The sequence below is a fragment of the Homo sapiens genome, chromosome 7 (genome assembly GCF_000001405.40).
Source record: "Homo sapiens chromosome 7, GRCh38.p14 Primary Assembly".
Taxonomy (NCBI): domain Eukaryota; kingdom Metazoa; phylum Chordata; class Mammalia; order Primates; family Hominidae; genus Homo; species Homo sapiens.
This window is the reverse complement of record NC_000007.14, coordinates 10700568-10721550: the sequence shown is the minus strand read 5'-3', so window position 1 is coordinate 10721550 and position 20983 is coordinate 10700568. Positions and strand designations below refer to the sequence as shown.

The 20983-nt window shown below is 36.8% G+C and overlaps 3 long non-coding RNA genes across 3 annotated transcripts in view; 2 read left to right on the top strand and 1 right to left on the bottom strand.

Annotated features, from left to right (window-relative positions):
- Positions 1-20983, top strand: part of MGC4859 (uncharacterized LOC79150) — a 330125-nt gene that overhangs the window by 58394 nt on the left and 250748 nt on the right. The gene's annotated exons all lie outside the window — the stretch shown is intronic.
- Positions 14013-18875, bottom strand: LOC100131472 (uncharacterized). The gene is made up of 2 exons (NR_149037.1): positions 18775-18875; positions 14013-14492 (listed from the first exon to the last, which is right to left on the bottom strand). It is a non-coding gene; the product is annotated as an uncharacterized LOC100131472 (long non-coding RNA).
- Positions 17996-20983, top strand: part of LOC124900231 (uncharacterized) — a 40219-nt gene continuing 37231 nt past the window's right edge. The window contains exon 1 of the long non-coding RNA XR_007060210.1: positions 17996-18480. This is a non-coding gene — a long non-coding RNA (uncharacterized LOC124900231). The remainder of the gene's footprint in view (positions 18481-20983) is intronic.

Here is a 20983-nt window from a genome sequence, read left to right as displayed (position 1 = left end):
TTACTTAATTTAATCTGCACAACAACTCCATGATGTGGACCGTTTTACTGTCCCCACTTCAAAGATGAGAAAGCAGAGGTTTAGAGAGGTTAAGTAGCATATTCAAGGTCATGTAGCAGAGCTGAAATTTTAACTTAACGCAGTCTAACGTCAAATTCCTTGATATTATTGTAGATAGATGATACTTTATTATTATTACACTTATTTTGATTTCAATTTCATAGGTAAGTATCAATTAAACTGCCATTTCTTGAAGACAATATGAAGAGAGAAAAACTATCAGTACAGTGTGGTATTATTAGTTCATTTACTCAGGTTTCTTTCATGGCAACTTTACTAGGAAGCTCATGTTCTCATTTCTATTATTAAATGGAATCATATTTATGCTACTCCTGTTCAATAGTAAAATAGCCGCAAATCTGAAGAATGTTAGCCGTTTTATCTCTAGTGTAAAATCAAGCTAAGAGGTGTCAGTATTTTCAAGGGAATATTTTTTGTTTTAATAGTCATGCAACAGATATGATCCCAGTTAGAAAATTAGGTGTCTCCAGATATGCCTCATGTCTTGTTTTTTCATGGAATGGCATAGAAATATAATTTTTATTCCTGTTAATTGATAGACTTGGAGCAGAAGCTGAATCTGTTCAAAATCATTTATATTAATAGGTGCACTTATCCACAGAGGTCTTTATTTTGAAAGTGCTAGGTTTGTAGCCCCCTTTTGTGCCTGTTTCTGGTGCTAAAGTGTTCTTAATGATGAGGAGCATCTGGTTGAAAACTATTGTTTCTCATTAAAAGGACATGTCTCTGAAGCTTTTGGGAATTCTTTGTGCTGAACAGTGCAGACTGAGCATTTTGCTCTTTTCATAATTTGTAAATGTGTGTTGTTGCTACTGCTTCTAGCCTAAGGTGCATGCTTGCTTATTGCTGAGCTTCTGAGCATCTAAATATGAGGTGAGAATGCAATCACTGACTGCATGTCCTTCTTTTGTTTGGCTGGTATTTTGGTTTCTCTGCCTTTTCTGTTTTCTGTCATCAGTAAATATTGTGTAATGATATATGGTAATGATCTAAACCAACAATCACTCGGAGTGATTTTGGATATTCTGCATATTTAAATTCATTCTTAGAATGGTGGCTTCTTGACTGATGGCAGGTTAACTCAAGAGATGGAAAACTGAACTGGGAGTACAGATTCCTGTTTGAGTTGTAAATCTTCTTGGACATTAATTTCCTCATCACTGAAAAGAGGAGAATTATTTCCTGGTTGCTTCCATGAGGCTCTCATGAGCTTCTATCCAGGCACTAGGGGGAGTTTGGCTTACTAAATCAGTCTTGCCAATCATTAGAAAAATTTCTATTTGGCCTATACAGCATGTATTACCATTGGCCACATATAACTATACCATCTTGTCCTCTTAGATTTTGACCTTCTCTGCCAGCCTCTTAGATGAAAAGAACAGTGAAATCTGCCTAAATGAAGCATATTGTCTTTCCCCACAAACTGAATCATGTGAAAACGAGACTGAGAGAAAGATAGAGAGAAAGACAAAGAGAGAGATAGATAATATGAGAGAGAGGTGTACAAGAAAGTACACTTGTTCCTTGTAGGGCCATTGGATTTGGTTCCAGGCACTTGTATTTATTTTTGCCCTTAGGCCTGAGGACTGGGGTCAATTTTCATTTCTGTTGCTCCTCAAGAAGGAAAACCTTCAAATCAGAAGAGTTAATATGACTTCTTCATTAAGAAGAGAAAAACAAATTACTTAGAGTTGAAAACAGTACATTGTTTGCAGTTAAAAACAGTGGGAGGGAAGGGAAATGTGCCTTTATTCATGATAAATGCAAATTAAATCTCAGCCTGTGATAGCTATAGTAGCTGATTTTCAGAGAAACGGGTTTCCAATAAGAAAAGCAGTGTTAGATATAAAAGGGCAGATAGTAGAAGTGGAAACATAATTTCCTGTATAAAACACATATCAATCCCTAGAATACAGTTATTACCGTTTTTATTTTGTTGTTGTTTTTTAGGCATGTCTTGGGGCTGCCATGATAGTTTTCTCTACACATAATTGTGAGTAATTGTATACATAATTCTGTACAAATAGTTGTACATATAATTGCACACATAATTGTGAATTTGTTACACAGTAATTTTGTACACATAATTGTATACATATTTGCACACATAATTATGAGTTTGTTAGGATGAAATAAGTAAAGTGCTTTTCCTTCTGAGAGAAATTCCATGCATGAAAAAGAGTCTTAAGGGATTCATTAGGAGATGACACAAACTGGAAGGGATGGGGGCATAAGATAGATAAGAAAAAATAGTTGGGACCACCCAGAGATTGGGTTGACAGGAACAAAGCATGGCTGCTGAATAGTGACGAATTGGCTGAGGAGGGGGTCTTTGGGAAGGGTCAGAAAAGTATTCGGATTATTTTAAATGCGAAATAGTTGTCTGAATTGTTCTAAAGTCTGAGCCTGACCTTGCTCCTCTTCTGTTAGGTCACTTTATTAACTCTACTTTTTTGTTTCTTGTTTTCCATTTTCTTTAAGCAAGTTATATTTGGCTCCCTCATATCTGAAATTGAGAAATGTTAGTTCTCTGAACTAACCAACCAGCCTCATCTCAAAATGCGTTGTTCATTTCCTGTCATGATTTCTTTAAAAACAATATGTTTATTAGAGGGGTTACTGGCTATCTTAGCTCTTTATTTTAAAAGGTGGTAAGTAGGCCGGGTGCAGTTGCTCATGCCTGTAATCCCACCATTTTGGAAAGGCGAGATGGAAGGATCACTTGAAACCAGGAGTTCAAGACCAACCTGGGCACCATAGCAAGACTGACTCCAAAAAAAAAAAAAAAAAGGGAAAAAGGGTGTTAAGTCACTTAGAGCATGCTGTGTGTAAATTTCTGCATCTCCATTTACCCATTGTTTGTTCATCCTCCCATTTAGGAGAATATAGATCTCCCTGAAAGGGGTGCTTCATAGAATTTGAAATAAGCCATGGCGATTACATATGTTGAAACTCTGTGTTTACTAAAAATAAAAATATGAAGTAATGTAGAAATAGAGATTCAAAAATGGTGGTGAATTTTAAATGTTTATTTTAAACAAATTCACACTTAAAAATATAATGCATTGTTCAAATGGTAATTATAGAATTTATGAAGATACGCAGGTGTTGGTATAGTATATGTAGGTTGTGTGGTTGAAGATTGGACACAAGTTTAAATTCTATTGTGAGTATCTCTGTGATTGTCCATATAGCCTCATTCAGAGACATGGTTGAAGTCTAAAGTTGAGTCCCTTTGTGTGAAGGCCAGGGCCAAATGGCGCTTGTTATCCATCCATGAATTTGGCCCTACCTGGGACAAATCAGACGCTTCGCAAGAAGAACAAAGCTTGATCAGGATTTTGAAGTTTTATTCAGGAAAGAGGGAAGAGTGTTAGGTCTTACATAGTCAGCAATGGTAGCAGGAAGGCCTGGACTTTTGGGGAACCTCAGTAGCCAGCGGCCAGCAATGACATGTAGTCCCTACTGCGTGTGGCTGTGGGACGCAAACGGGAAGCAGAAGCAAGCTAAAGGCACATTTACTTACAAAGCAGTATTGGATTAGTGGTCAAAATACCCTAATTCAAATCCATTGGTAGTCAACCCAGTTTATCTATCTGAACTTCAATTTTTTCATCTGTATAGAGGAAATAGTAATTTCTATCCTTTCTAACTCTTGGGGTGGCTTGTTGTGAGTAAAACAATGTGTCTGAAACTGTGTTGTAAATACAATGTCATATATATATGCTCTCAAGTGGATGAATAGCAGTTCAAAAATCAGATAACATCCTTATCATCTCAAGGCAAAGAAGAGCAGTGTATCCACAGCTTGTGATCTTTTACTGTGAGGGCTGACAGTAAATAATTGAAGATTAAAAAAAAGTTAAAACCTAGTCCTCTTCTGCCTCTTTTCTTTGCTTCAGTAAGAGTTTTGTAGAATATAACAGGACCTAGTCTGAAAGAACATGCAAGGACACTTAAATAGGAATATAATGGTTTAAAAATGAAACATGAAAACTAGCTTTCCTTTGCCTTTTAATTCCTATATTTATTGCCCTGTGCTGCTTCTATTAGCATTGATAATTAAAGCAGTATAAGGAATGTCTTGCATTTGATGTTAATAGTGTCATGCTGGCTGCTGCAGGACCCTGGGCCTGATCTTTATCCCCTTTGCAGGTAAATCTTTGAGCTCACCTTTAGAAAGCACATTAAACATTCTGGAAGAGAATCTTTAAACTTGTGGATTCTCCAGTGATCTCTTAAGTATCAGAAGCTCACATTAGAGGACGACATCTTATAATCTTCTGACCACTGCCTGACCTATGTTAGCAAAAGAATGGTATAAATAGCCTTAGGATATGGATATCCCACGTCTTAATTTTGCTTTGAATTGACCTTAGGGATCCACTGAGGCCATAAAGAAAAATATCAGTATGCCAGAACTATGAAGTTCCACGCTTATTAACAATAGTGGCAATAAACTTTATTTTTGTAATATTTTATCTAATTAGTGTATGACCAAAAAATCACCATTTAAGAGATGGTAAATAAAATATATATTTAGATTTCTACTTTCTCACTATTTAGTTCATTTACATTATATATTTCTATGACACTTTGCAGATTTCTGTTAGTTTGTTTAGTTATATTACATTTAAACTCTAGACTTTATTCAATTTTTCCACTAATGTCCTTTTTCTGATCCAAGGTCCCATTCGGGATACCACATTACATTTAGTCATATGGCTCCTCAGACTCCTCTGGTCTGTGACAGTTCTTTTCTTCTTGATCATGATCTTGACAGTTTTGAGGAGTATTGGTCAGGCATTTAGTAGCACAGATCTCAATTTGGTCTTTCTAATATTCTTATTATGGTTAGACTAGGGTTATTTTATCCTTTGACTTACTTTTTTCAGCTTAATTCAACTATCACCTCCTTTCTGCCAAACCAATTTTATGTGATAACTGTTGTCTCCTGTATTCGTTTTCTATTGCCACATCACAATTACCACAAAATTAGTGGCTTAAAATAGCAGACCTTTGTCAGCTCCAGTTCTGTAGTTTAGAAGTCCAGGTAGGATTAATTGGGTCCTCTTTTGCTCAGGGTCTCATAAGCTAAAACCAGGGTTGGCTGGGCTACGTTGTTGGAGGCTCTGGGGAAGAATCCACTTCCACACTCATTCAGGTGTTGGAAGAATTCAGTTCCTTACAGTTGTAACCTCTATGTGGGTCCCACTTCCTTCAAGGCCAACGATAGCAAGTCTCCCTTGTGTTGAAATTCCTTCCACACTTCAATCTCTCTCACACATCTCTTTCACCAGGAAAAGCCCAGTCACTTTTAAGGACCATCTTATTAGATCATGTCCCTTTCTCACAGGCGATCATGCCACCTAATCTAAATTAATCATGGGAGAGACCATATCATATATACAGGTTGGCCACACCCAGGGGCTTCTATACAGGACTTGTACAACAGGGGGCAGAAATCTTGGGGCCATCTTAGAATTCTGTCTACAATATCCACCACACATAATCCTCAGTACTGGCAAATTGGATTGAGGGTATTCTGTTTATTTAGATGCTCCATATGCCAGGAACTTGGTAACATTATCCTAAACCCCTGTGCACTTATTACAAAGATAGCCAGATCCTTGCTTCTGGCCCTATTCAACACTTCTGAGAATTGGCACAAGTTTTTCTACATCCTGTAATTAGGATGAAGTTTTTTTTTCTTCCTTTGCTCTTTCAGATTCTTTGCAGGCAGTATTTTAGAGGGGCTTTGAGATTATTTTATTAATTTTTCATTTTTAATAAAAGGTATCAACAAACTGAATGGAAATTACCAGCAGGGCTTAGTATTTTAAGTTTTGAACTTCACTTGACAAACTCCCTTAGAAGATAAGCAAATCTTATTTTATTAACCGGAGAAACTATGATTCTGAGTTTATTTATACTACATTGACATGATTTGGCTTTGTGTCAGAATCCCAAGTGTAACTCCATGGTAAAGCCACTTTGTCTTACCAGGGTGCCCTGGTCCTAGGTATCTCCAAAACCCAACAGTGGACCTTGTGGCTGAAGTCAGCTTGTATCTCATTGTTAATTATAAGGCTTTCACCGAGTCCTGGCACTTTTCATCTTTATTGTAATGCAATTAAACTGATGCCTTTATATATCAATTGAAATCTCATCTTGAATTGTACTCCCATAATTCCCATGTGTTGTAGGAGGGAGATAATTGAATCATGGGGGCAGTTTCCCTCATACTGTTCTCATGGTAGTGAATAAGTCTTGTGAAATCTGTTGGTTTTATAAGGGGTTTCCACTTTTGCTTCTTTCTCATTCTCTCTTGTCACCGCCACATAGGAAGTCCCTTATCCTTTGGCCATATTGTGAGGCCTCCCAGCCACAGGGAAATGTGAGTCCATTAAACCTATTTTTCTTTCCCGTCTCAGGTATGTCTTGATCAGTAGTGTGAGAACGGACTAATAAATATATCATGCTTTGAGGTATATATTGTTAGTTTTCAATACGTATCAACTAATCAAAACAATAAGAAAGCAGATCTTTCTCTGGGGACAAATGCCATCTGATATTGGTGCCACTTCCAAAAAATACTTACCAAATGGAGAGCTAAGACATATTGTGAATATAAACAGGACTGAAATCAAAAGCACAATTTAAACAAGAAAGGTTTTAGGGGCTAAAAGCAAAGGGTAACTTTGTGACATGAGCAAGGAGGCTGTGAAACTTCTGTGGCAGTTCCCTCTCCTGTGCTCCATGCTTTGCTTTAAGGGCTCCAGGAAGTGCCTACACAGCTGTCAGAAGCAAACCTCAGGCCACTAGGCAGCTATCCTGCTATTACCTGTTACAGAGGATCTCAGGCTGAATGATATAAGGAGGTCTTTTTTTCATTCACCAGTTTTGTTTTTGTTTTTCTTTTATTTGGGAAATAATTTAATATATTCTCTATTGTTAAGTGCACCAGATGCCAGACTTCTGAAACAACAGTTATGCTTCAGCATAATAGCATTTTCTATGTATTTCTATTAACAATGCTTGTTCCTCTGATTTACCTGGAATCAGTGAACCTTTCCTGAACCTACTTAGGCCCAACAGCTTAAGTGGGCTGGAAGGCCAATGAGGCTCGAAACTCAGAAGGTGGTGGGCCCCCTGGCTCACGCCTGTAATCCCAGCACTTTGGGAGGCCCAGGCAAGAGGATCTCTTAAGGCCCAGGAGTTTGGGACCAGCCTGGGCAACATAGTGAGACTCTGTATCTAAGATGGGCAAGGCAGATGCCTGCCCCCCCAGCTCTGCTACCTGCCTGGAAATGGGCACCATGCAACTGTCCATCGTGTTGCCATGGCAATTCAGCCGACACTGGAACTGGAACATTCACCAGCTTTGAAATGGCTTTCCCATGCTCTTTTCCTTGAGATGCTATAATTTTATATCTCAGAGACACTAAATTGGAGGGCAGAATCCCAAGTGTAACTCCATGGTAAAGCCACTTTGTCTTACCAGGGTGCCCTGGTCCTAGGTATCTCCAAAACCCAACAGTGGACCTTGTGGCTGAAGTCAGCTTGTATCTCATTGTTAATTATAAGGCTTTCACCAAGTCCTGGCACTTTTCATCTTTATTGTAATGCAATTAAACTGATGCCTTTATATATCAATTGAAATGTGCCTCAACTTCATCCACTTCACCAGCCTGCCCCTTCAGAGCCTAGTAGTTTTATTTAAGGAGCTCTTAGATTTAAACTCCCGCATGGAATCTGAGTTGACCTTTCTATCCTGTGAAGACCTATTGTCAGCTAGGAGTCTGATTTAGTAAGGGCCCAGATATGAAGCAATTTTATTTTTCAATTACTATTTCAAACATAAACATGTTTGAATAAATGGTCAAACTTCCTCTTCCCTGTCATCTTTCATGTTATTTTGGGTGGATCCTAGGTTTTCTGGTATCTCTTGAGTATAGTAGACCCCACTTACACTTGGGGCACATACTCCAAGACCTCAGTGGATACCAGAAACCGCAGAGAGTACCAACTATATATATATACTGTTTTTTCTTATACATACGTATCTATGATAAACTTTAATTTATAAATTAGGCACAGAGATTGGCAACAACTAATAATAAAACAATTCTAACAATATACTATAATTACAGTTATGTCAGTGTAGTCTGTCTCAAAATATCTTGGGATATGGTACTCATGTATTTTTGTACCACAACTGAGAGTGGGTAACTGCAACTGTGAAAGTGAAACCGTGGATAAGGTGGGGGGACTACATATAAAAAAATTTAGCGCAGTCTAAATACTGAACTTAGGCCTTGTCATCATCACCTCAGCACTTGTGAGGATTCAGCCAGGACTTGGAGAGGGAAGAGTTGTGCTCTTCTCCTTCCTTTCCTCTCCCCTACCTCCTGGATCCCTCTGGTGTGTTTAGTGGTAGGAGTTAGAAGAGTTATAAATGTTTTCATTTACCTGACTGCTGTAGACCTGTCTGTTGAGGCTTCTGTGTTTAACATCAACTGGCTGTCACAGCTGTCTGCATAATGGGCATCTAAATCCCGTCTCTCATGTGAGAGTCATTTGTGAATTCTTCAGACGGTCAGTTGGAGCCTCATCACTCCACTGAATGTGATTCAAGCAAGCCTGCTCTGGTTTGAACTCTCGGGACCCCTCCAAATTCCTTCACTTGGGGTCTCCCTGCCTTCTGAAGTGTTCACGTGACCGACAGGAAACTCAAACATCTCTATCATGACCCAAAACTCTGCTATTTCATACGGCATGTCAACAACTCAGGTACATAACAAACTCATCCAACCCGGGGAAGGAGATGCTCCCACTTGATTTGCAGGGAGAGGTGAAAACTACCCTCTTCCTAGTCTGGAAATTCCTTATTTCCACATATTTCCCTACAGTAGTTTCTCCAACTCTCCAGAGTCGGGAGAGAGGTGCGTTGGATGTGTGAGTGATGGCTAGGGGTAGCACAGCCAGTTTGTCTTGGTTCCTCGTGAGTCTTGGAGGGAACTTCTGGCCCTCAATTGCTTGTAGGTCCTTTAAAAAGGTATGATATCATGACTTGTTTTCCTCCAACTTTGAATGCAGCTTGTAGAGCTGCCAGATAAAATTAATGTGCAGTTAAATTTGAATTTAAGATAAGGGGAAATTTTTAAGATAAGTATGTCCTAAATATTGCATGGGTCACACTTATACTGGAGAATTTATACCTAGTTATCTATAACTGAAATTAAACTTGGCATCCTGTATTGTTGTTTGTCAAATTTTGCAACCTTAAATGCAAATTAGCAATCTAGAGCAGCAGGAAAATCCCACTATGATTATATTCTAGGTGTCAGGCCCTATGTATGCTAGGCATTTTACATAGATTATGTATTATTTTTCCAGGTAGGTATTGTTAGCTTCTTTATGTAAGGAAAATCATTGAAGCTCAGAGAATGTTAGCTCAATGCTCAAGATTACTCACAAAAACACAACTGGTTAGGGCAAGAGGGAGGATTTGAGTCTGGGTTAGCTGGCTCTAGCATCTGATCTTTATTTACACTTTATCACATTTTACTACTATCTTTCTCTTCCTCTCCTTAGTCCCAGGAATCCCACATATATTCAAGACACCTCTCACTCCCACTGGCTACTTTCCTCCTACTTGGTTTCATTTTGCTCCTGCCATTGATACAACACTGGAATGTATTCCAACTTCCTCCCAGGAGTTAACCCTGATTAAGTGTGTAAGTGGATAATGCTTATTGCTTAGTAGCTACGGTTTCTTTCTCATTTTTTATCCTGGTAAATTGATTGGCCTTGAAAGTCTTCTCCCCTTTCTTTTTCCCTTAGTCATAAAATAAGCCCTATGCAAGTTGACCCTTGTTTTTTCACCGTATTTTCCAGGGCAAAGGTGTCTAAAAGGAAAGAGCCCTCAGAAAACTGAAGGAGAGGCTTGGCCACCACATCTAAAAATGCCTCCAGGTTCTTCCTGGCTTTCTTCTTGCTTAATGTCCCTGCCCCTGTGATGCCTTCATCTAAACTTAGGGAGAAGGAGGCATGACTCGCATTCTACTTTCATCTCTAGCTGATTTACTGAGATCAATCTCTAAATTCCAGCTTATTTAGCATTGCTGCAATGGTTCCTCTCTCCTGTTTTCCTTCACTACTCATCTGTGCTGCTTACCAGGGATACTTCTTGTGAAGGATTGGGTGAGTGAATGGTACATGGAACCTACAATATGATTGATGGGAAAATAACAAGAGTTCAATTTAAGACTTCAGCAGGTAAACATAAACAGAATGATTGAAAGAGAAATTAATAAGGAAGCATGTAAGAAGAATGTAACTAAAAGAGCAAATAAATGAGGAAGAAGGGAGATTTACAGCAAAATTTAGTAAAGGCAGATCTACTAAAGATTTACTTCTATTACTTATTTTAAATCAGTGTCTGAACATAATTGAACATGTGCTATATGATAATTTATTGATATTCTCACCACTTTTTCTTAAGTTGTCGCAGACAGTTTAGGAAAGACTTGCTGTCTTTTGGTAAGTATGAGATGGGTCAGTGGTTCTAGGTCTACTGCAGAGGTTAGTTATAGATTAACACATTATTTATGAGACCATTTTTAAAGGAGGCATGGAAATGTATTGCAACATGGCGTATCATATGTTATAATATGTTGGACATTATGAAAATGGTGCTTCGTTTTAATCCACTATCATGAAGACATGTGATATGTCTTGAATCTTTGGCCGTCTTTATGAAGCAATTTAAGGAGCAATGGAGAAGTCTTTTATTTTTAAATCTGGGAGTCAGATACACCAAGGAGGTGCTGTAATAGAATGTCACACTAGCTCTATGATGTTGGTTAAGTCACTCTTCTAAGACTTTGTTTTCTCATCAATAAAATGCAGATAATAAGAATTTCTATCTAAGTTATAAAAATTAAATGAAAGAATGCATATAAAGCATTAACATGGTGGCTCGCACATTGCAGTAGCTCTATGGTAGGATATAATCATCATCATGATTATTTTGATAAATGGCACATTTGGGTCATGGATAGTTTGGGTATATCCTTACTAATAAGGGAATGCAGACTATGCAGTCAGTTTCATTATTTATGTCATTGTTCAAGATAACACTAGCATGCTATGAGAACTACTTTAAAAATTTGTTTGAAAACTCATGCAATAAAAGTCACAAAAGTGGAAGTTTTCAGTCACACAAAGGGAAGTTGATTAAGGAGGGAGGGTATCTGCATTTTCATTCTGGTCTACTGCCCACTGCTTTGTGACTTTGCAAAGACATATTATCTACCCAAATTTAAAATTTCTGTCTGTAAGATGGAATAATTGGAGGAAATAATTTCAGAAGTCTACTCTAAAAGTTTTATTTTAGCTATGGTTATTTATATTCAGGACCAACTGCTAGAATGTACTTCCTTCAGAGTTAGGAATAGTCAAAACACAGATTTAAAAAAACCCATTGTTTATTTCTATGCTGTTTCAAATTCAGTATCTGAAGTCTTCAAAAAGCAGTCATGGTGAAAAAAAAAGTCCAAAATAAGGATTTGTTTATATTTTTAAGAAAAACTAATTTTTGTTGTTATAAAAGTTATTTATGTATATTACATAAAACATAGAAAACAGAGAAGTCTATCAAAAAAATAAAAATCACTGGTTAAATAAGCTCCCTCATCAAGCTCCCGCCCTTCTTTCCCCAGGATAATAATTCTTCATGTGAAAGCATGAATTTATTAGAATTTTAAATATACATAAAACATTAAAAAAACTTTATAATATTTAATATTTGCTTTTTCACTTAATAATTATATTCTGTACATTTAATGGAATCGTAAAGCATAGATGATATCATTGTATTTAATAGCTGCAAAGTATTAATTTGTAAAAATGGATTAATTTATTTACCAAATTTGAAACAATAAACATTTACTATTGCTTGCAATACTTCATTACTATAAGCAATACTTTTTGGATATTTGTTGCTTAGTTATGCTCACATGTTTGTCTGATAAATTTGTAGAGATTGCATTTCTGGTTAAAGGAATATGCCTATTTCAATTTTTATATATATTACTAGATTCCTCCCAGGCCCCCAGGAAACTTGCATGTGTAAATATACTCCTATGTATTAAAGTGTCTATTTCTGCATACTAAGCATTGGGCATTATTCTTTTAAATCTTAGCCAAGATGGTAGGTACATGAAAAAAAATACTATCTCATTGGTCTTTTAATTTGTAACTTTTATTCTTTATTACCAATAAAGTTTGATGTATCTTAGTGTGCTTATTAGCCAAAATGGTGTGTTGTTTCTTCCTTAAAAAAGTTTAAGAGCTCATTCTTTCATAAGTGTATGCGCTATTGGCCTGTTGTATATATCGCAATTTTGTTTTTCTTAGTTTTAATTTAGTTTAAGGAATTTAATTTAGGTGAAGTTTAGGAATTTTATGTGAAAAATCTAGTGGCATCTTTTATGGCTTGTGATTTTGATATCCTGTTTAGAAAGTCCTTCCCCAGTCAAATATAAAATTATCCATCAAAATTTCATTATATAATTTATTACATTTAAATCTTTAATCCATTTGGAATTTATTGTGGTTTCTATAAAATGCTTGCAGTTCTTTTTAATCACTTTTATCTAGACTCGTTGGGTTCTATAGTTACTTACCTGTGGTTGAAGGAGAACTGAGTCAATTAAATACCAATAATAAGATACAGCGAGTAATACTTCAAATGCTCACCTGACAGCCAGACAAGTCCCTGCTCCCTCCTGGCTGGTCACTTCGTATCACAAGGGGGAGCTTTCGTGCTTTAGTAAATACATCTTATGTTATTCAAGCCACTCCTTTCATTTGTAGCTTTTGTCCAACCTCGATTTGTTTTTCTCTTAATCATGCAAAAGCAGTGTGTTGAGGTGGTCAGGAAAAAAAGATATGAAAAAATTGAGCTGCATAGGATAAAAATCCTAAATATTAATCTGTATTAAAAATATTTTCCTTTGTGCATAGGAAAGAGATTTAAAATTTTCTTTCATTATTCTCTCATTTCCTAAATAATTATTGTAATACGCTTCCTTAACAATGGAATTTAGATCCGTATTTAAAATTAAGGGCTTGAATGAAAAGTAAAATTAGGTATCATTTATTATGGGGATTTTTTTTTTCTGCACTTGTGATGAAAGCCAATGTGTGTCAAAGATCATATAGTGGATGCTAGCAAGGATTTCTCCCTACTCCATATTTATCAATTGGTCAAATTGTTCAATTAGATAAATATGTTTCAATTTACCTCCCACCTCTTTTTGTCTCACCCCTTTGAGGAACTTTGTTATCTATACGTTTGAGTTCTAAGGTGAGTAGAGAGGGTAATCCTATTTGTGGCTAATTATCAGTAAATTTACATTTTTCTAATTTATTTCCTCAGTACAATCAGAATTGTATAGCATTGTGTCTTGAGTGGAGGCCACTTGCATGTGTCTGTCATTTGCACTTAATAAGAAAAGGGTGCTGTCAAATAGTCTCATTCTCTGGCTGTGAGCATATGCATTTATGAATGTTTGGATGATAGAGTGTAAATGCGAAGTCCTCTTAAAAGAGGGTAAAAAGGCTCCCAGCTACTCTTAGAGCACATATCCAAGGCTAAACATATGGCCTTGTCATCACAATTTCCCACATTCCCTTTTTTGTGGTTTTAACCTTCTACTTTATTTATTACCAGAAGGCCTTATCTCTCTAGCCTGCTGCTACAGACTGCTAGGCCAGGATGTAGTGAAAGCACAAAGTAATGAAACAGGGATGATCATAAAATAGAGGGGAAATGGCCATAGCCTCTGTCTGTGGTACAGCTGCCCAGGTTTTGTAACCTGAGCCAAACCATGCTAAAGAAACATAATGTTGCACAGTGCTGATGATGCTTCCATTCCTGTTACATTTGGTATCACCAGAAGACCTTAGATTTTGTGAATGTCAAGTCTTTTCACAAACTTTCAGCAGAATTGTCAGCCTAAGGAAAAGAAAGAAGACAGCTAGAGGACCTCAAATGCTAAGATGCCATTTAAAGGGCAAACAGCATCTCAAGTGAAGAAATGTCATGCAGGTGAAATATTTTGAGGGACTCAAGGTAGAGGACAGTGAAGAGGAGAAGCAGTGAGTACTGCTTGACAATATAGTGTTTTATGACTTTTTTTCTTCCTTGTGCAGCCCTTAGCAAAGTGATCAAACCAGAGCTTCATGCCCCCTGATGGGTGACTGACGGGTGGTTAACTGCAGCAAGTTGGATGACAGTTGAGTTAGTGTTTTCCAAAAGCTGGTCCAGGTCTGGCCAAACCCTGTGTGTGTTGTAGTTAGTGCCAGGGCTCCTTGGGGAGGTGTGCGTCCGTTCCTTCTTTCTGCAGGTGGAGCAGAAGGGGAAGTGAGAAAGAAGAATTTGACTCATCAACCCAGATGCCATACACAACCATCTCCAAAAAAATCAAATCTTTATAAGGCAACTTTAAGATTTCTATAACAATAATAGAGCAGTTTTGATTCTCTGGTTGAAAAAAATTTTTAAATGATAATATATGGTATTCATAAAGGATAAATAACTGATAATCCTAATACACAATTGATAATAGTGTGTCAATTGATACTCCTCTTATTGTGGAGGACAATTTGCCAATATCTGTTATAACTGAAATGTATTAAACCCTTTGAACTAGTGTTCCATATTTAGGAATTTATTGTATGGAAATACTAATATTAGTGAATAAAGTGACATGTAGAAGATGTTGCAACATTACTTCTGGTAGTAAAGTAACAAAATAATCCAAATGCCTATTAAAATAGGAATTGTTAACTTTACAAAATAGGAATGCTAACTAGTCATTAATAAGAATGAAGTAGAATCATATATATTTTGATTTCTGAGATCTGCCACTTAATTATCTGTGAGAAATTGAACAAAATACTTTATATCTGCACCTCAGCTTTTTCGTCTGTGTAATGGGCATAACAATAGTATCTACTTTATAGAGTTTCATAAAGCAAATGAATAATACCTTATAAAGTTTTTAGAACATTTTCTGGTATCTAGTAGACACTCAATAAATGTTATGTCTTTACAGTTATCCTTCTGTATTTGCATAGGAAAATGTGCGAGTTGGAAAGTTGCAAATGAGTATACATAATATAGTCTCACAAAAACAGTGGAGTGATATTAGTTATATTAACGATTTTTGTTGTGCCTGGGGAATGGAGTTACGGCCTTTAATATCTTATGTAATATATTTCTATATATTTGAATTTTTACCTCTCAATTTTTACAAGAAGCGTTACAGCCTGCAGTGAATAATTGTCCCTACCACCTCGTATTTCTTGGGTCTCACAAGGAGTTACCATGACATTTCATATGGTCAGAGGACCTGGTAGAGTTTGAGGTAGAAGAGTAATGAAAATAAAGCAGTATCACTTAAACAAATTGTGGGAAAGAACCAGCTTTTCTTTTCATAGACTTCAATTTTCGGTTCACAGAAAGATTCAGTGGAAGGTACAGAGATTTCCCATATTCCCTTATCCACATATACTCCCCAACCTTCAGACTTCCCCAGCCTTCAACATTCCACAGCAGAGAGGTGCATTTACTACAGTCGATGAACCCATCTTGATACATCATTATCACCCAAAGTCCATAGTTTACTCTTGGTGTTCACTCTTGATATTGGACATTTTATGGATTTTGTCAAGTGTATAATCACATGTATTCACTGTTATAATACCATACAGAATAGTTGCAGTGCCCTAAAAAATCCTTTATATACCATCTATTCATTCCTTCCTCCCTGTTAACCTCTGGCAACCACTGACCTTTTTACTGTCTTCATTGTTTTGCCTTTCCCAGAATGTCATATAGTTGGAATCATACAGTATGTAGCCTTTCAGATTGACTTCTTTCACATAATTATATGCATTTAAGTTTCCTCCATGTCTTTTCATGGCTTGTTAGTTTATTTCTTTTTAGCACTGAATAATATTCCATTGTCTGGATGTACCACAGTTTATTCATTCACTTACTGAAGGGCATTTGGTTGTTTCTAAGTTTTGGTAGTTAAGAATAAAACTGCTATAAACAATGTGTGCAGGTTTTTGTGTGGACACAAGTTTTCAGCAGAGATTTTTTTTAAGTTTTCAATTCATCACAGACCAATAGTTTGTTTTAATGAAATAAAATGAATTATTAGCCTAAAGAAACAGAAAAATGGATAGAAAATACAAACCCTAACTTTTTATTGCTAGATTCAACAGACTTATAAATACTCTATCAAATTGATATAAAAGGTTCTAAAGGCTTGCTCTTAATTTCTGTACTTAATGTTGAACCAGAAATAGTTGTTGGCAAGTCCCAGTCCACAGACCACACTTTTGAGCAGATTTGTATAGGGAATTCAGAGTATGTAGGGAGAGGAAGGTCAGATAACTCCATCCTTTCATCTTGAAAACTCCATGCTTAGCCTGCAAGAATCAGGCTTTTCTGACTTCTGTAGTCTGGTTGAGCTGCCCCTTCTTTGGCTCCAGAGTGATGCTTGCAGTGCTCTCTGGCGGTGCTGATTCCCACGCCTTCCCGCCTACAGAAGGCTACTTGAGTGCGGGTGCCAACTTCATAGTCCTAGTACCTACCACAGGCAGGCACACAGAAGACTTTCAATTTAGCTTAGTTAAATGACTAAACAGGAAAACAAGTTGAAATTGAAAAGAATAGTTATCTTTGCCATTGCAGATTGAAGACATCAAATAACCTTTAAATATGGATTAAAATTATATTATTTTGTATACTATAATGTGGATTTAGCTTTACATTGGGTCAATGTATGTCTCTCAAAATCTAATAACTACTAAATCTGTTAAACTACAGATATATATCTGTGCACATGTATTACATTAATGTGTGTCACTTAATAATGGGGATATGTTCTGACAAATGCATCATTGGGTAATTTCATGGTTGTGTGAACATCATAGGGTGTACTTACACAAATCTAGATGATTGAGCATACTACACACCTAGACAATATGGTATATAGCCTATTGCTCCTACACTACAAATCTATACAGCATGTTATTTTACTGAGTACTAGAGGCATTTGTAACATTATGGTAAGTATTTATCTAAACATATCTAAATACAGAAAAGGTACAGTAAAGTATGGTACGAAAGATAAAAAATGATACACCTGTCTCAGGCACTTACTATAAATGGAGCTTGCAGGACTGGAAATTTCCTTGGGTGAGTCAGTGAATGAGTGGGTGAGTGAATGTGAAGGCCTAGGACATTACTGTACACTGCTGTAGGCTTTATAAGCACTGTATACTTAGGCTACATTAAAATTATGAAAACAATTTTTTCTTTACAAATAAATTAACCTTAACTCACTGTAACATTTTTACTTTATAAACTTTAAAAATTTTTTAAACTTTTTGACTCTTTTATAATAACACTTAAAGCACAAACATATTGTATAGTTGTACAAAAATATTTTCTTTATATCCTTATTCTATAAACTTTTCTCTATTTAAAAATTTATCTATTTATTTATTTTACTTTTCAAACTTTTTAATTAAAAACCAAGACACAAACACACACATTAGCCTAGGTCTAACAGGGTCAGGATGATCAGTATCACTGTCTTCTGCCTCCACATCCTGTCCCAGTGAAAGGTCTTCAGGGGCAGTAACACACATAGAGCTGTCATCTCCTGTGGTAACAATGCGTTCTTCTGGAATACCTCCTGAAGGACTTGCCTGAGGCTCTTTTTGAGGAGATGTTACTCTTTTCAGAAATATGTCTATGGCAGTGATTTGTTTGATCTGTTTCTTTTTTTCATCATAGATTTGCTTGTAAGCAGATAATGTCCTCTTCAGGTAGCAGCCTTAAGAGCTGCTATTACTTCTTGATCCATTGGTTGGATCAAAGAGCTGGTGTTTAGAGGCGAAAACACCACTTTGACATTGTGATAATCACCAGTGAAAGGAAGATGTGCAGGAACATTATGAACAATAAGCAAAATCTTGAAAGGTATATTATCTCCAAACAGTACTCTTTTATTTAACTGGCATAGGAATTCAGGAGGCCATCTTGGAAGAGGAGCTGGGTCATCCGTTACTTCTTTTTGCTTTGTAGTACAAAGGCCATGTATGCTTATTGACATGCTGGAAGGCCCTCATGTTCTCACTGTGCCAGATTACGAAAGGTTTCAATTCGTGGCCTGCAACATTGCCCCCAGCAAGACTGTTATCTTGTCATAGAAAGCTTAAACCCTGGCACTGACTTAGTTTTCTCATGGATGAAAGTCCTCTCAGGCATTCATAAGCAGGTTTCATTCATATTGAAGATTTTCTCTGGTAAGTAATTTTCTTCCACAGTCAGCTTATGTAGTGTTTCCAAAAATTCTTCAGCTGCCTTTTCATTAACACTTGCAGACTCACCACTCATATTCACATTATGTAATAAATAATGATTCTTGAATCATTTAAACCACACAGAGCTAGCAGTAAATTCAACATCCTAGTCAGGCCCAGCCTTTTCTTTTAACATAGCAAACAAACTTTTTGCTGTAGACATGATTGTTATGGTCCTGAGAGGGATATGCTTTTCTGTCTGGTCCTTAATCCAGGTCATTACAAATTTCTTCTTACCTGATATAGGCCCTTCCTGAAATTTGTGTCTTGTTGCCTTCAGTGAAGCAGATCTTTTAACAGTTTCTGTTACTTTGTTCTTGTTCTTCAAGATCATAGCTATGGTGGAATAGAACGTGCTTGACTAGTGAGCAATAACCGCCACTGACTTTCCACCTTAATGGCCCTTAATCACTTGTAATTTTGTTTCCAAGTCAGACATTTGATGTGGCCTCTTACTGGCAACATCAGCAGTGGATTTTATATGCTTAGGAGCCACAACCAACAAAACAACACAAGATTAAATCAAGCAAAAGAGAAAATGTTGCAAACAAGAGATGCAATAAACATGAGCTGTATGAGGCTGCTGCTGGTGTAAGATGTCATACTGTTTTGCAGTAAACTGTTTTTTTAATAAGTAGGAGGAATGCACTCTAAAATAATGATAAAATATATAGTACTGTAAATATATAGACCAGTACATAGTCATTTATTATCAAGTATTATGTAGTGCATAATTGTATGTGCTATACTTTTATAAAACTGGCAGCACAATAGGTGTGTTTACACCAGCCACGACACAAACACATGAGTAATGTGTTGTGCTACAATCTTAAGATGGCTAGGATGTCAATAGGCAATAGGAATTTTTCAACTCCATTATAATCTTATGGAATCACCATCCTATATGCGGTCACTGGGTGAAACATCATTATGTAGTACATGACTACATGTACAATCTATAAGCAGTTTTGGCCCTCATGATAGTTTTAAGGTTCATCTTTTTTTTTATTATACTTTAAGTTCTGGGATACATGTGCAGAATGTGCAGTTTTGTTACATAGGTATATACTTGCCATGGTGGCTTGCTGCACCCATCAACCCGTCACCTACATTAGGTATTTCTCCTAATGTTATCCCTCCCCTAGCCCCCCACCCCACGACAGGCCCCGGTGTGTGATGCTCTCCTCCCTATGTCCATGTGTTCTCATTGTTCAGCTACCATTTATGCATAAGAACATGAGGTGTTTGGTTTTCTGTTCTTGTGATAATTTGCCGAGAATGATGGTTTCCAGCTTCATCCATGTCCCTGCAAAGGACATGAACTCATCCTTTTTTATGGCTGCATAGTATTCCGTGGTGTATATGTGCCACATTTTCTTTATCTAGTGTATTATTGATGGACATTTGGGTTGGCTCCAAGTCTTTGCTATTGTGAACAGTGCCACAATAAACATACATGTGCATGTGCCTTTATAGTAGAATGATTTATAATCCTTGGGGTATATACCCAGTAATGGGATTGCTGGGTCAAATGGTATCTCTGCTTCTAGATCCTTGAGGAATCGCCACACTGTCTTTCACAATGGTTGAACTAATTTACACTCCCACTGACAGTGTAAAAGCATTCCTATTTCTCCACATCCTCTCCAGCATCTGTTGTTTCCTGACTTTTTAAATGATTGCCATTCTAACTGGCATGAGGTGGTATCTCATTGTGGTTTTGATTTGATTTCTGTAATGGCCAGTGATGATGAGCATTTTTTCATATGTCAGCTACATAAATTTCTTCTTTTGAGAAGTGTCTCTTCATATCCTTTGACTACTTTTTGATGGGGTTGTTTTTTCTTGTAAATTTGTTTAAGTTCTTTGTAGATTCTGGATATTAGCCCTTTGTCAGATGGATAGATTGCAAAAATTTTCTGTCATTCTGTAGGTTGCCTGTTTACTCTGATGATAGTTTCTTTTGCCGTGCAGAAGCTGTTTAGTTTAATTAGATCCCATTTGTCAATTTTGGCTTTTGTTGCCATTGCTTTTGGTGTTTTAGACATGAAGTCTTTGCCCGTGCCTATGTCCTGAATGGTATTGCCCAGATTTTCTTCTAGGATTTTTATGGTCCTAGGTCTTACATTTAAGTCTTTGATCCATCTTGAGTCGATTTTTATATAAAGTGTAAGGAAGGTGTCCAGTTTGAGTTTTCTGCATATGGCTAGCCAGTTTTCCCAACACCTTTTATTAAATAGGGAATCTTTTCCCCATTGCTTGTTTGTGTCAGGTTGGCCAAAGATCAGATGGTTGTAGATGTGTGGTGTTATTTCTGAGGCCTCTATTCGGTTCCATTGGCCTATTTATCTGTTTTGGTACCAGTACCGTGCTGTTTTGTTTACTGTAGCTTTATAGTGTAGTTTGAAGTCAGGTAGCATGATGCCTCCAGCTTTGTTCTTTTTGC